The sequence below is a fragment of the Homo sapiens genome, chromosome 1 (assembly GCF_000001405.40).
Source record: "Homo sapiens chromosome 1, GRCh38.p14 Primary Assembly".
NCBI lineage: Eukaryota > Metazoa > Chordata > Mammalia > Primates > Hominidae > Homo > Homo sapiens.
Window position 1 is genome coordinate 86,918,872 of NC_000001.11, and position 15,351 is coordinate 86,934,222.

Sequence of the window (15,351 nt, forward strand, 5' to 3'; positions counted from 1 at the left end):
TTTCTATTTTTCTATTGGGTGGTTTACTTTTTTTTTTAAATATTAGAATTAGTAATCCTTTATCTATCCTATGTCTTTTTTAAATTTTTTTTATTTTTATTTATTTATTTATTTATTTATTTTTTTGAGATGAGCCTTGCTGTCACCCAGGCTGGAGTGCAGTGGCACGATTTCGGCTCACTCCTGCCTCAGCCTCCCAAGTAGCGGGGATTGCAGGTACGTGCCACCACGCCCAGGTAATTTTTGTATTTTTAGTAGAGACAGGGTTTCACCATGTTGGCCAGGCTGGTCTTGAACTCCTGACCTCAAGTGATCTGCCCCCCTCTGCCTTCCAAAATGCTGGGATTACAGGCATGAGCCACTGCACCCGGCCTCTTATTTGTTTTTGTCCAAGTTTGCCATTTGTTTCTTGACTTTATGGTGTGTTTTGCTCATATAGAAGTTTTAAAATACACACAGTTAAATCTATCAATTTAGGGAAGTCGTTTTCATATTTTGCTTAGGAAGACTTACCCAGAGCCAGGATTGTGTACATTTTCTGTATTTTATTATAGTATTTTATAGTTTATTACATTTGGCTCTTTAAACCATTTGTATGTTTACAGAGATTTATCATGATTTTCTCAGTAAATCATTTTTTCCAACTGTATGTTAACATTCCTTCTTTTAATCACATACTAAGTTTTCATATGTTCTTGGATCAATTTTGGATGCTATTTTCCATTAATCAGAGATTCTTTAAACCTCGGGGACCCATAAATAGGCTTCAAGGTATCAGTGAATTCCCTGAAATTATATACATAACTTTCATCAGATTTGCAAAGGAGTATGTGATTCCTTTAATGGCAAGGATCACAGATTTATAGTAGATGTTTCATATTTAGTGGACTTTTTTTTGTTTTTAGTAACATAACGTGCAGATTGTGAGTTAAATTTAGGAGATAAGCTTATTACCTGTGAAAAAGAGAAGTTTTTCAACTTCAAATGAAGTTAATACTTCATTGTATTAAAATGTAGACTTAATTTTCTAGTGAGAAATGGAAAAGGACAGGGAATCCAAATGAAAACTATTTAACTGTGACTCGTTACTATAAAATGTCAGAATTTGTGGCTGGTAAAAAGTAGTTCTTCCCGAATTTCAAGAGCGCACTTGTTGCTAATATTGACTGGTCGAACAGTGCAGTGAAATATTTTCTCACATAAGTGATAGAACTATGTGCTTGGTAACTTTATTTTCTATAGGGTTTTAGCATTGTAAATAATATTTGTTGACTGTATTCTTACATCTCTATATGGATTTATGAGCACATTAGGAATAATCTTTTACATGGGGAAAATAATTGAGAATGGATTATGTAATCATCCATTGGTGAGAATTAATGTTAGTCATTATGTTCTTAAAACTCTACTAGACTAAACAACTAATTCCAGGGCCAAGGTTGAGACTGCTTTTTGGAATTTGGTAGTTTTTACAAGTAAGTTCCTGAAACCATGCAGCAATACCTGTAAGATGTTCCAGAGAATGCTAGATTTCCTCACTTCTGAAATCATTTGGAAAACCTCATAGTAGCTACTGTTTTGAGGACTTTGGGTTAATAGGAATACAGTTATTCTAGAATTGGTAATTGGTGCCTCACTTAGTCTTGAATAGGATGTCTAGTGCCATGGAGTAGTCACCTGAAATAGTTGATCTCAATTAAGATAATTCCAGGATGTCTGTCCACCACTCTGGTAGGCCTTCTAATAGCTTTTTGGCACTTAGAGAAATTGAAATAATAATGAATGTTCAAAGATTGCTCTCCAGAAGACCATTTTTGAAGGATGTACTTATAGATGAACTTCATAATCATGGTTCACTATAGCCTAGTTATTTTTAAGATCTACCCACCTACCAGTACCTGTACTTACGTATTCTGCCTTTCTGCCTGTTAACAATAGATGGTAACTGTCAGTGCTCCTGTTCGGTCATTTGTGCACCTGATTCTGTTGCCTCACTTACCTAAAGACATGGTTCCCGAAGCTTTCCCTCATTCTCCTGTCACAATGTATTCTTGAAAATTGCTAAGAGAGTGGATTTTAAGTGTTTTCACCATACCAAAAAAAAAAGTATGTGAGGTAATGCATGTTGTCTTAATTAGCTTGATTTAGCCATCCATGATATATACATGTTTTAAAACATGTTGTACATGATAAATATATACAGTTTTGTCAATTACAAATAAAAAAAAACTATCTTGGTAAATGTTCCAGGTGAACGTGAAAAATATGTATTCTGTTGTTATTGGCTGAAGTATGCTGTAGATGTCGGTTGGTAGTATTGTTATGGTGTTTTGTATTCTTGATTTTTTTCTGCCTCTTCATCAGTTATGGAGAGGGGTTTTGAAATCTTTGATAATTGTGGATTTGTCTGTTTTTCTTGTAGTTATGTCACTTTTTGCTTCATGTATTTTGAAGTGCTGTGATTAAGTATATGCACATTTAGGCTGTCATGTCTTCTTGATGGACCAACCCTTTTTTTTATACAAGATACCATCTTTATCCTTGGTAATATTCTTTGCTCTGAAACCTACTGCTGTGGTGTTAATGTCTCCCCCAAAATTCACATGTTGGAAACTTAATCTCCGATGCAACAGTATTGGGGCGGGAGGTGGAGGGTGTTTAGGTGATGAGGGCTCTCCCCTCATAACTGTATTAATACTGTTATAAAAGAGCTTGTGGCAGTGTGTTCTCTTTTTTCTACGTAAGAAGACAGCATTTGTCCCCCTTTTGCCATTTCTACCCCCAACCATGTGAGGATGCCACAAGAAGTCCCTCAACAGATGCTGGTGTCTTGATTTTGGACTTCTCAGTTTCCAGAACTGTGAAGAAATACATTTCTGTTTTCTATAAATTACCCAGTCTCAGGTATTTTGTTATAGTACCACACAATGGACTATGATACTTACTTTGTCTAATACTAATACAGACACTTCAGTTTTCTTTTGATTAGTGTCAGGTGGTATATCTTTTCCCATCCTGTTAATATTAACCTACTTGTGTATTTATATTTAAAGTGGATTTTTGGTAGACAGCATCTAATCTTTCATCTAATTTCACAATCTCTTTTGTTAATGGAATGTTTAGAACACTTAATGTGATTATTGATGTGGTTGGGTTTAAATTCGTGAGTTGCTATTTGTTTTCTGTTTATCTTAACTGTTCTGTGATTCCTTTTTTTCTGTTGTCTTTAGGATTAAAGGGGTATTTTTAAATTCCATTTTTTAATTTGATGACTTACTAGCAGTGCTCTTTGTTGTTGTTTTTTTTTTAAGTGGTTGCTTAAGGGTTTATGGTATACATGATAGAATTTCATGTGTAGTATAAGAACCTTAATATATTACCACTTTTTTCTGGGTTCTTGCTATCGTCATTATACATTTTACTTCTATACATGAGTCCTACAATACATTATTATTTTTGCTTTAACTTATATTTTAAAAATATATAAAATGTTTAAAAATTTTTTAAAAATTTGCTGACATATTTACCATTCCCAGTGTTCTTCATTTTGTGTGTGTGTGTGTGTGTGTGTGTGTATGCAGATTTTCATGTGGTACCATTTTTTTCACTCTGAAGAATTTCTTTTAACATTACTTACACTTAAAAATATACTGGTGATGAATTCTTTTCATTTTGTGTGTCTGAAAAAGTCTTTATTTGCTATAGTGTTTGAAGGATATTTTTGTTGGGTATAGAATTCTAAGCTGACATTTTTGTTGTTTCAGTACTTTAAAGATATTGCTTCATTGTCTTCTGGCTTGCATTGTTTCTGATGAGAAGGTTGCCATCATTCTTTGTTCAACTATATGTAGCGTGTCTTTTATTTTTCCTCTTTTGCCTACTTTTAAGAGTTTCACTAGGTTTTTAATTATTTAATTATTAAATTATGTTTCTTGTGCCCTTGTATTATGTTTCTTGTGCCTGGGGTTTGTTGAGCTTCTTGGATCTGTGAGTTTACAGTTTTTATTACATTTAAACATTTTTGGCTATTATTTCTTCACGTTAGTTTTTCTATGCTGCTTCTCCTCTCAGGAACTCAAAATACACTTACATTAGACCACATGAAATTGTTCTACAGTTCAGTGATGTTCTATTCATCATTCTCAGTCTTTTTGTGTGTGTGTGTGTTGTTTTAGATAGTTTTTACTGCTAGGTCTTTAATTCACCAATCCTTCTGCAGTATGTAATCCACTTTTAATATTACCCAGTTTATTTTTTATCTCAGGCGTTGCCTCCCACTCCTCCCCCTGCCCTTCTAGAAGTTTAATATAGGTCTTTAAAAAATTATGTATCATTTCTTTCCTTAACATCCTGTATTAGCCCGTTTTGACGCCCTGAGACTGAGTAACTTACAAAAGAAAGAGGCTTAATTGGACTTACAGTTCACATGGCTGGGGAAGCCTCACAACTGTGGCAGAAGGCAAGGAGAAGCAAGTCACATCTTATGGTGGCAGGCAAAAAATGAGAAAGCTTATGCAGGGGAACGCCTTTTTTTTTTTTTTTTGAGACAGAGTCTTACTCTGTCACCCAGGCTGGAGTGCAGTGGCGCAATCTCGGCTCACTGCAAGCTCCGCCTCTTGGGTTCACGCCATTCTCCTGCCTCAGCCTCCCGAGTAGCTGGGACTACAGGTGCCTGCCACCACGCCTGGCCAATATTTTGTATTTTTAGTAGAGATGGGGTTTCACTGTGTTAGCCAGGCTGGTCTTGATCTCCTGACCTCATGATCCACCCACCTTGGCCTCCCAAAGTGCTGGGATTACAGGTGTGAGCCACTTCGCCTGGCGGGAATGCCTCTTTTTAAAACCATCAGATATTTTGAGACTTATTCACTATCATGGGAACAGCATGGGAAAGACTTGCCCCCATGATTCAGTTACCTCCCACCAGGTCCCTCCCACAACACAGGGGAATTCAAGATGGGATTTGTGTGGGGACACAGCCAATCCATATCATTCCACCCCTGGCCCCTCCCAAATCTCATGTCCTCACATTTCAAAACCAATCATGCCTTCCCACAGTCCCCCAAAGTCTTAACTCATTTCAACATTAACTCAAAAGTCCACAGTCCAAAGTCTCATCTGAGACAAGGCAAGTCCCTTCTGCCTATGAGCCTGTAAAATCAAAAGCAAGTTAGTTACTTCCTAGATACATTGGGTAAATACAGCCATTCCAAGTGGGAGAAATTGGCCAAAACAAAGGTGTTACAGGCCCCATGCAAGTCTGAAATCCAGCGGGGCAGTGAAATCTTAAACCTTCAAAATGATATCCTTTGACTCCATGTCTCACATCCAGGTCACACTGATGCAAGAGTTGGGCTCCCATGGCCTTGGGCAGCTCCACCCCTTTGGCTTTGCATGATATAGCCCCCCACTCCTGGCTACTTTCACAGGCTGGCATTGAGTGTCTGTGGCTTTTCCAGGTGCACGGTGCAAACTGTCAGTGGATCTACCATTCTGAGGTCTAGAGAACAGTGGCCCTCTTCTCACAGCGCCACTAGGTGGTGCCCCAGTAGGGAATCTGTGTGGGGGCTGCAACCCCACATTTCCCTTCCACACTGCCCTAGCAGAGGTTCTCCATGAGGGCCCCGCCCCACAGCAAACTTCTGCTTGGGTATCCAGGTGTTTCCATACATCTTCTGAAATCTAGGCTGAGGTTCTCAAACCTCAGTTCTTGACTTCTGTGCACTCGCAGGCTCAACACCATGTGGAAGCTGCCAAGGCTTGGGGATTGCACCCTCTGAAGGCATGGCCCGAGCTCTACGTTGGCCCTTTTCAGCCATGGCAGGAGGTCTGGGACAAAGGGTGCCAAGTCCCTAGGTTGCACATAGCACGGGGACCCTGGGCCTGGCCCACGAAACCATTTTTTCCTTCTAAACCTCTGGGCCTGTGATGGGGGGGCACTGACATGGAGACCTCTGACATGCCTTGGAGACATTTTCCCCATTGTCTAGGGGATTAACATTCAGCTCCTTGTTACTTATGCAATTTCTTCAGTGGGCTTGGATTTCTCCTGAGAAAATGAAATTTTCTTTTCTATTGCATTGTCAGTCTTAAAATTTTCCTAACTTTGATGCTCTGTTTCCCTTTTAAAATTGAATGCCTTTAATGGCACCCAAGTCATCTCTTGAATGCTTTGCTGCTTAGAAATTTCTTTCACCAGAAACCCTAAATCATCTCTCTCAAGTTCAAAGTTCCACAGATCTCTAGGGCAGGGGCAAAATGCTGCCAGTCTCTTTTCTAAAACATAACAAGAGCCACCTTTGCTCCAGTTCCCAACAAATTCCTTGTCTCCATCTGAGACCACCTTAGACTGGACCTTATTGTTCATATCACTATCAGCAATTCAGCAAGTCTCTAGGAAGTTCCCAAACTTTCCCACATTTTCCTGTCTTGTTCTGAGCCCTCAAAACTGTTCTAACCTCTGCCTATTACCCAGTCCCAAAGTAGCTTCCACATTTTTGGGTATCTTTTCAGCAATGCCCCACTCTATGATACCAGTTTACTGTTTTAGTCCGTTTTCATGCTGCTGATAAAGACATGCCCAAGACAACAATTAACTAAAAGACGTTTAATAGTTCTACATGGCTGGGGAAACCTCACAATCATGGTGGAAAGCAAGGAGGGGTAAGTCACATCTTATGTGATGGTGGCAGGCAAAAAATGAGAAAGCTTGTTCAGGGGAACGCCTCTTTTTAAAACCATCAGATCTCATGAGACTTATTCACTATCATGAGAACAGAATGGGAAAGACTTGCCCCCATGATTCAATTACCTCCTACCAGTTCCCTCCTGCAACACATGTGAATTCAACATGAGATTTGGGTGGGGACACAGCCAAACCATATCACATGCTTTTCCTAATTTTTTTTGAACAAGTGGAATATTGTTATAATAACTCTTTCTGGTGCTGTTGTCTACTAATTCTATCATCTGGGTCATTTCTTGGTTGCTTTCTATTGATTTGCTTTTCTCTACATTATGGGCCATATTTTCTTCTTTACGTGTCTGGTAATTTTTAACTGGATGGCAGACATTATTTTACCTTGCTAGGTCCTGGATATTTCCATATTCCTATAAATACTTTCAAACTTTGTTTTGGGACATACTTAAGTTATCCAGAGACAGTTTTGTCTTTTTGAGGCTTGCTTTTAAGTTTGTTTGATGGCACCACAAAGCCTTTAGCCTAGGACTAATTTTGCTCCATTACTGGCAGTCCCTTGTAGTGCCCTTCAGAGTATTCCACCCAGTGCCCTGTGTATTACAAGGTTTTGCCACTTTGGCTGAAGGGAACACTGGTTGAGTGAATTCCCAAAATTGTTCCACCTGCCCATTTTGAATGGTTCTTTTTTGGCCTCAGTTTCTTAACACATATACACTGAGAGGTACTCTGCTGAAAATTCTGTTTTTAGCTCTGTCCTCTTCAGTGCACTGCCCGGCAAACTTCAGCCGCCTTGTCTTTCCTAAAACCTTGATTCTCGCTCCTTAATTCAAGGAGAATGTTGGATCCCTGAATTAGACTGAGTTCTCTCTCCCTGTGCTATAGCCTAGAAACTCTCTCAGGCAGTCATAAGACTCACTTCATTTCCTTTTTCTCAGGAATCCTCATACTATGCTGATTTCCTGTTTAATGTCCAAAGTCTGAAAATTGCTGTTCTCTATTTTATCATTTTGTTTTGTTGTTTCAGGTAAGAGGGTAAATTCAGTCTCTTTTACTTCATCTTGGCTAGGGGTAGAAACTGGGTGAATCTTTGATTGTGTGTCCCCAAGTTGACTGAGGGGAAAGTAGTGAAGTTGGATCATTTGAATTATACTTAGTAATTAAAACTAATATTGTAAATTCAGGGAAAGAATCATGGTTTTATTATGTCTCTTGATTTCTTCATAATCTCTAGCATGGTATTGAGCACAGGCCTTAGCAAGTTGTTAACTGAAAGTTAGGCGAGACTTATCCATGATAGTCCCACCTTCCTCCTTCCTTATAGAAGTTTCAAGCGTATGTTAGTTAATTCTTTGAAGTGTTATCAATTTTATTCTGATTTTAAGAAACCAGGCCTTTTGTATCCCTTTAGATACAGCTGAGTCTAAGAGGAAGACTCTTTCAGACTGGCTGATGAACCATCTGGCTCCAGAAGAGGTTTTTGCTTTTCCTGTTAGTATGGTTCTTGAGCTAACTGGTCACATTCTTGCTGGGTGTGGCTGGATAAATAGTTCTGTTCAGAGGCTTCTTTCCTGTATTCCTTCCAGAATACCTTTATACCAAGCTAAGTAATGGGGAAGAGAATCAGAGGGATGGTAGTGCTAATAGTAGTTATATTCAATATGTTGCATGTATAGAAAATGCATATAGTTTGCCCTATGGTGAATATTATCATTATAGTCCTCAGATCTTCAACGTGGCATGGCACAATTCTTGCTAAAGGTAGTTAGGTTGTGCTGAACCTGTGAGTACTCTAAAGTGTCAAGGAGAAGTCTTTTAAATTGTAACTCTTGGCTTCTCCTGTGGGAAGGTAGTGATTTGAAAATGGTGAATTGATTTGCTGCTTATATAGCAACTTAAAACTGGATTTAGAGGGAAAGTAATGTCCACTTTCCTAAATTCCAGCACAAGTTAGGAATAATCCATTAGTATCACCTTATGTTTTTCCATTATTTATTTTTAAATTCGTGACATAGCTAGAAATAAGTGATTTGTACAGGTAAGCACTCAGAAATGACTATAAAGAGTGATCAGATGATGTCAGTTGGGAAAGGAGAGTTGTGTTGAAAACCCTTCGATTTTTGCTTGGTATGGTTAAGGATTTGAGGTTAAGTGGCTATGCAAGTGCAGACTAACTCTTGGCATATTTATTTCTAATTACAAACTACTTTTGAGTTGGGCTTAATGAATGTAATTTAGAGATGTTATTGGTTCATTGATAAGCTTCTGCTATGTAGTCCCTGTATGCTGTGAAGCAAAACACTATAGGAAATGGGCTAATCAAACTAGTTTTATTTTTTTCTGCTGCTTAAGTTGGTAGTCTGAGTCTCCATAGCTTGTCTTCAGACAATGAATTGTACATCAAATACTCTGTTACTATCATGCTTTCAAAATAATGCTTTATTACAGTATGTCTTTGTTAATAGTAACTTAAAAATTGAAATCTTTAGAAGAAACTAACTGCGCAGCATAAACATTCAAACTAAAATCTTGCTGCAAACCTGAATTTTTATAGTGTATTCAGTAGAGTTGTAAATTCTGCCCTATTTTTGTTCTAAGACTTTGATGATTAGGGCTATCTGCGTCTTTCAGTTTCTAAGGTGTGATGTAAAAGGACATTATCGTAAGTTTTCAGTGATAAAAAATATACTATTTTAAATATAGGCAGGAATATTAGAGCTTTGAGTGAAATTGAATTACTGGATTAAAATCAATAAAATCCTTCTTCAACCTTGCATTTGATTAACTTGTTCAAATTTTGTCCATGACAAACTGAAACTGGCTCAGGAGTGAGGTTTGACACTAAGATTCTTGAACTATATTTAGATTTGATCTGTATTTAAGATTCTTGATTTATATTCTGTATTTGGGTGTTAAGAAAGTGCCTCCAATTGCCAGTATTTTTATTTCAACACAGTCTTATTGCTTTTCAACACACCCACCTCTTATTAACTGTTGGATGTTCCCAGAATGTTATACACCTCTGGCAGAAAAACTCAGTTGTTTCCTCTATAGAAAGGCTGATTAGAAAGACTGGCTTAACATGATTTTAATGTATTTTAATAGATAGTTTCTGCATTTTTAAAAATAAAATAGAAGAAAACATTCATCATTGTCTTCTAGGACATAAATTTCTTATTTTCCTTCCTACTTTGAAGGTTAAAACAAAAAAGCAAACAAAGTTGTGTGATGATATTTTAGTGTCTTGAAATGGATTTCTCAGCCATTAAAATAAGGGATATGTATGACTTTTGCACCTCACCTGGGATTTGTCAGTGATACTCTCTGACTTGATATGTACCTTTTCAGGTTTGTCTTATAGATAAGATGCCATCGTGTGCCCTTTTTCTTTTACCCTAGGTTGGAACTTTGTGTTTAATTAGTAAGCCATCATGACCTCTGAACCTTCATTTAGACAATAACTAACAGTTATGGAGTACTTACTGTGTGTTTATAAGTGTTTTATGTGTATAGTTTCATTTAATGTAAATGATACTTGTTTTTGCTTTCTTCAGAGAATTGCTGTGAAGTTAAATGATGTTCAAATGAGATAATGAATGTTTGTACAAACACTGTAGTTATAAATTGTTATTAATAATGACAATAATATCTAACTACTTTCTCTTTGCCATTGTTGTCTTTAAGGTTTAATATAGTCTACAGCCTACATTTTTTGGTGCTGTAGTTTTTCCCAGTGCCTCATCTCATAGGATGACACTTGTCTGATAAGTCCTCAGATAAATCACATGATGTTACATGAGTTATAGATTTGACATTCAGATTAGCTTTTTATTCTTTCCTTCCCTAGGAAGAAGTAATAATCACTGGCAATTCATATTGTTATTTGCCTCCTTAAAGTAGAAATCTATTTGTTTTCATATAAATTCTAGAAAAGCTATGGCTTTTTGATGTTACTGGACTCTCTTCACTCTTTCCTATTAATACCTGTGAAATTGACAATTTAAAGATAGATTTATAAAATGCAAATTAAATTTAAATTGTGATGGAGTTTTTGCATGTGTATATGTATGTGTTTATGTGCGTATACATATATAAAATAACTCTTTGGCCTCTAAATTTTTAAAGGATTAATGATAGTCAAATTAATGAAAGAAGAAAGAACCTAAGCCTATTTCTCCATTTTAGAAAAAGTTTTGTGTGATAGTTGCTTTATTATATTGTCAGTTTTCCCATGGTGATTCATTGTCATATCTCAAATAGAGGAATATGTTCTGTATCCTTTATTTAAATTAGGAAAGTTCAGTTTTTCTTACCTTTTTCACTCAAATACAGAACAGTATAGGCTGTACATTAATATTTATTGCCAAGATTTTGAGGATGACTTTAGAAAAGACAAAATTCTTGAATCTTACACAGCTTCAAACACTATTAACTCAGGTAAATAGTTACTTGCCATTCTACAATCAGAAATTTTGGTAGACTGAAATGGTGGACTATGAGAGGTAAACTGTGTTGTGATCACCTCTTTTATCATATATATTGCTGCTACTTTTTTTCAGGAATTATAGCATTATTCTTAAGTACAGGTCAGCCTTACTGTTGAATTTAACATGTAGCTGTTGTGTACAATTTGAAGAGTAGAGCAGTGATTTCATTTGCGTATTATAATGTTTTATGTTTATGGATATCTTTAAAATTTTTCCTAATTAGCAGTGAAAACATTTTGAAAGAAATGCTGGATTTGTTGGAAGCTCAGCTTGCATTTTAGCTATACCTTTAAAACTTTAAAAAATTCATTTCTTAATGACTTTACCAATCTAGAATTGAGAAAGACAGAATGGAGAAACAACATGAACCTTTTACATTTCACCTAACCTTCCTCTATCCCCACATGAAGCGTAATACCCCATAGGTGGAAACTGTCTTAAATTTTATTTTGTTTCCAAAAACTTAAGCATACGTTAGTCTGGGCTTTTGGGAGTTATCTTGTAGAATAAGATTATTAAAGGACCTTACCATTTTCTAAGTAGATTTTATCCTAAATTTATAATTGCATTGGAAAAGTGGGCTTTTTAAAAAAATTTAACCAATGTCATATGACACCATCCTCCCCTATTCCTCCCACCCTGAGTTACCAGTTTAATTTGAAAACTTTGAATTTCCCACATATCCAAGTATGCAAGATTTTGCATTGTCCTCACATAAATGAACAAATCTTCAAAGCACGAAAAGTTGAGTATTTGTTTTATGTGCTCTTCATCTAGGTGCTTGTAGTAATGTTGGCACTTACAGGAGAAATTAAGAGATGAGGCAGAGAGGTGAAGAAAGGAGTCTTTAAAATAAGTGATTAAATTTTGGGCATTTATAGTATGTTGTGTGAGTACTTTTTGAAAATGACTAGTTAGTGGGGGAAAGTAACATTTCTACCTTTAAAAAGAATGTTCTTTGAAATGAGAAGTAGTTTTAAAAGTTACTTAAATAAGAATGGTAGGTTATTTTAGTTACAATCTCACAAAAATGATGTTGTAGTATGTGACGTGAAATATAGTAGGTTTTGAGAGTTTTGACTATGTACATGACGTTGAATGTAGTCAAAAGTTGGCAATGTAATTTTTAAATTGAATTGTATTATACATTATTTCACATTTATTATTCAGTTTAATTCTACCTTGTCCTGAAAAAGAGTTGAAGAGATACACAGATGTGTTTGTGTAATGCGGAATGGGTAAAAAGGCAAATGAGGTAGGAAAATAAGTCAAAGTAAAGTATTTGTATGGATATTAAATAACTTATTTTAATTTTGTAGCCCATTTTTTTTGTTTTGTTTTTGTGGGTAGTGAGGTATTAAAGTACCAAAAAGATCTCTATATGTAACCCTTACTTCAGATTCTGAGGTAATTTGGAGTGATAGCATTTTTGCAGCCTTTTATTTAAGGAGCCAGGAAAGCAGATTTCATACTTGCATTTTGGTCACAGAATAAAAGTGAAAGTTTTATTAAATAATAACAAGGATAGTTTGGGAAGATGAGGCATCTAGTGATAAGAATTGAGTTAGGATTTTGTGCCGTACATGATTTATGATAAAGCTTTTCTTACTATGATACTAAAGGCTTTGATTGTAAGTTCAAGTAGTTTTCAATGCAGAATCCATCAGTGTGGAACCTTATATAATGATTGTTGAGCACATTTTGACATAATTTAACATCATGTTATTGCTTATTTAGAAAAAAATGCTTAATACCAGTAATCTTTTTATTTCTTCTATCAAGTATATTTTGTTTCTGAGAGGATTAAAAATAACACGGTGCATTGAAGTGATATTTCTTGGTGGTTTTTAATTTAAGAAAATCTGATAAAGTAGTTTATAACTTTTCTTTCTTCTTTTTGTAGAGACAAGGTCTTGCTTTCTTGCCTAAGCTGGTCTTGAACTCCTGCCCTTTAATGATCCTCCCATCTTAGCCTCCCAAAGTGTTGGGATTACAAGCATGAGCCACTGTGCACAGCTAGATAGCTAAGAGAAATATGGATTAAGTTGAGTATTATAAGTTATGGTTTTCAAATATGATTTAAAATAAATATTGTTAGACTAACATTAAGGGCTAAAGTGAAATTACCAAAGCACGTATTAAAGACAAATTTGGGGCGATATCACATGTTCTCACATATGTGAGAGCTAAAAAAATTTGATCACATGAGAGTAGAGAGTAAAAAGATAAGAGACTGGGAAAGGTGAGTGTTGGGGAGAATGAAGAGAAGTGGGTTAAAGGGTACAAACATGCAGACAGACGGAATAAATTTAATGTTATAATTCTCCTGGTTGTTCATGATATACCATGTACCATTTCATATAATTCATGTAATATACCCTCTTATTTTATAGGCAAAGCAACAGCAGCCTAAGTCTTGCTGGGGGATAAAAATATTTCTGAATAAATAAAGTGATACATAAATCATATAACTTTGATTTTAGGCTAGGGTCATGATCAAATACATTGATTTGTTATTTGTAAAATTAAAATTACTGATTTAATAAATAGTGGTACCTGTCTTTTTCTCTGTCTGTATTAGAACAGCATTAGTAATAGGAAGCAAGCAGGATAGTCACTAAAAGCACATGCAGTGTCAGAAATAAGAAGTGGGATCTCTTTTCAAGGGGAGGAGACAGAAGAAGGCAGGAGAAGTACAGCAATCCAGGTTAGGTTATTGTGGTAAACCTGTCTTTCTCAGAAGCTTCTGAGCACAATTCTGAAGAAGGTAACATAATTATAATGTGCTCGTAAAATAATGGGGCAAAAAAATATTCTTCAAAGTAGTTACCTTGAGGAAGTTATACATTAGAAAATATAATTGCTAAAATATTTTGAAATTCTTTATGAAATTGGTTTCAGAACCTTTTAAAACTGCAAGATCATTTTTGTAGCCATAGATTAAAATTATAATTAAAATTTTTAAATTGTAAAAGTAATTATAGAATATTTAGAGAACATGAAAAGTAACGCTTTTTTCACATACTAATAAAACCATTGTTCTTTGCAAAGTTTTTTCATATGGATTCTTTAGATAAAACTTATTTTAATCTACTCAGGTGTAGATTTTTTGGTGTTTATCCCTCTTGAGTTCTTTGAGCTTCATGGATCTGTAGTTTGGTGTCTGTCAGTTTTGGAGAATTAACCACCATTATTCACATATTTCTTCTGTTTCTTTTCTCCTGATATTCTCATTATCCATAGTTACACCTTTTGTAATTGTCCAACAGTTCTTAAATATTCTGTTACTTTTTAAAAAAATTCTTTTTGCCTTTCAGTTTGGGAAGTTTCTATCAACGTATCTTCAAGTTCACTGATTGTTTTCTCTGCTGTGTCTAGTCTGCTGTTGAATCCGTCAAAGCATTCTTCATTTCTGTTACTGATTTTTGTTATTTCCATTTCAGTTTGTCTTAGAGTTTCCATGTCTCTGCCTACAGTGGGCATCAGTTTTTGAATGTCGTGTAGTTTTTTCCATTAAAGCCCTTAGCACATTAATTATAGTTACTAAATTCTCACAGTGATGATTCCAAAATCTCTGCCATATATGAGTCTGGTTTTGATGCCCGCGTTGTCTTTTCAGACTCTGTTTTTTGCCTTTAGCATGCCTTGTAATTTTTTTTTTTTTTTTTGATAAGCTGGATGTGACATAAGGGGTAAAAAGAACTGAGATAAACAGGCCTTTAGTGTGGCCTAGAGGCCTATCTGGCTAGGAGTTAGGCTGTGTTTACTGTTTGATGTAGCTTTGGTGTCAGAGATTAAAATTTCCTCTCGTGTAACTGCTTTTGTCTCCTTTGTTGTCTTTGGGTTTCCCTAATAACTCCTTCATAAGTAGGTTCCGAGGCTTGTAGTTATTTAAGCTGTAAGTCCCTGTTATTACACAGGAGCCCTATTGATGTGGTGTGTGTGTGTGTAAAAGTGTTCTATAATCTTATGATTAGCTCTTAGTGAGCCTGTGTCTTTGGACTGTGACCTTCATGAGTGCTTTTTAGCTCCTGCAACCTTTACCTCCCAATACTTAAGTGAGAAAGTAGGAAGGCTGGGAGGCGGCTGGAGTTTTGTATTTCTCTTCCCACAAGTTGGTTAGTTGGTGGATAACAAACTGGAATGTGAAACCTCGGATGAGGGGAG

The 15,351-nt window shown here is 35.9% G+C and overlaps 1 protein-coding gene across 2 annotated transcripts in view, besides 1 other annotated feature; it reads left to right on the forward strand.

Moving 5' to 3' along the window:
* Positions 1-15,351, forward strand: part of HS2ST1 (heparan sulfate 2-O-sulfotransferase 1) — a 195,348-nt gene that overhangs the window by 4,237 nt on the left and 175,760 nt on the right. The window lies entirely within an intron of this gene.
* Positions 4,649-4,827: a silencer, noted in NCBI's record as "fragment chr1:87389203-87389381 (GRCh37/hg19 assembly coordinates)". NCBI's record gives its function as "represses an EF-1alpha promoter that drives an FKBP-Casp9 reporter gene in an ReSE screen in HepG2 liver carcinoma cells {active_cell/tissue: HepG2}" and the evidence as "EXISTENCE:reporter gene assay evidence [ECO:0000049][PMID:32094911]".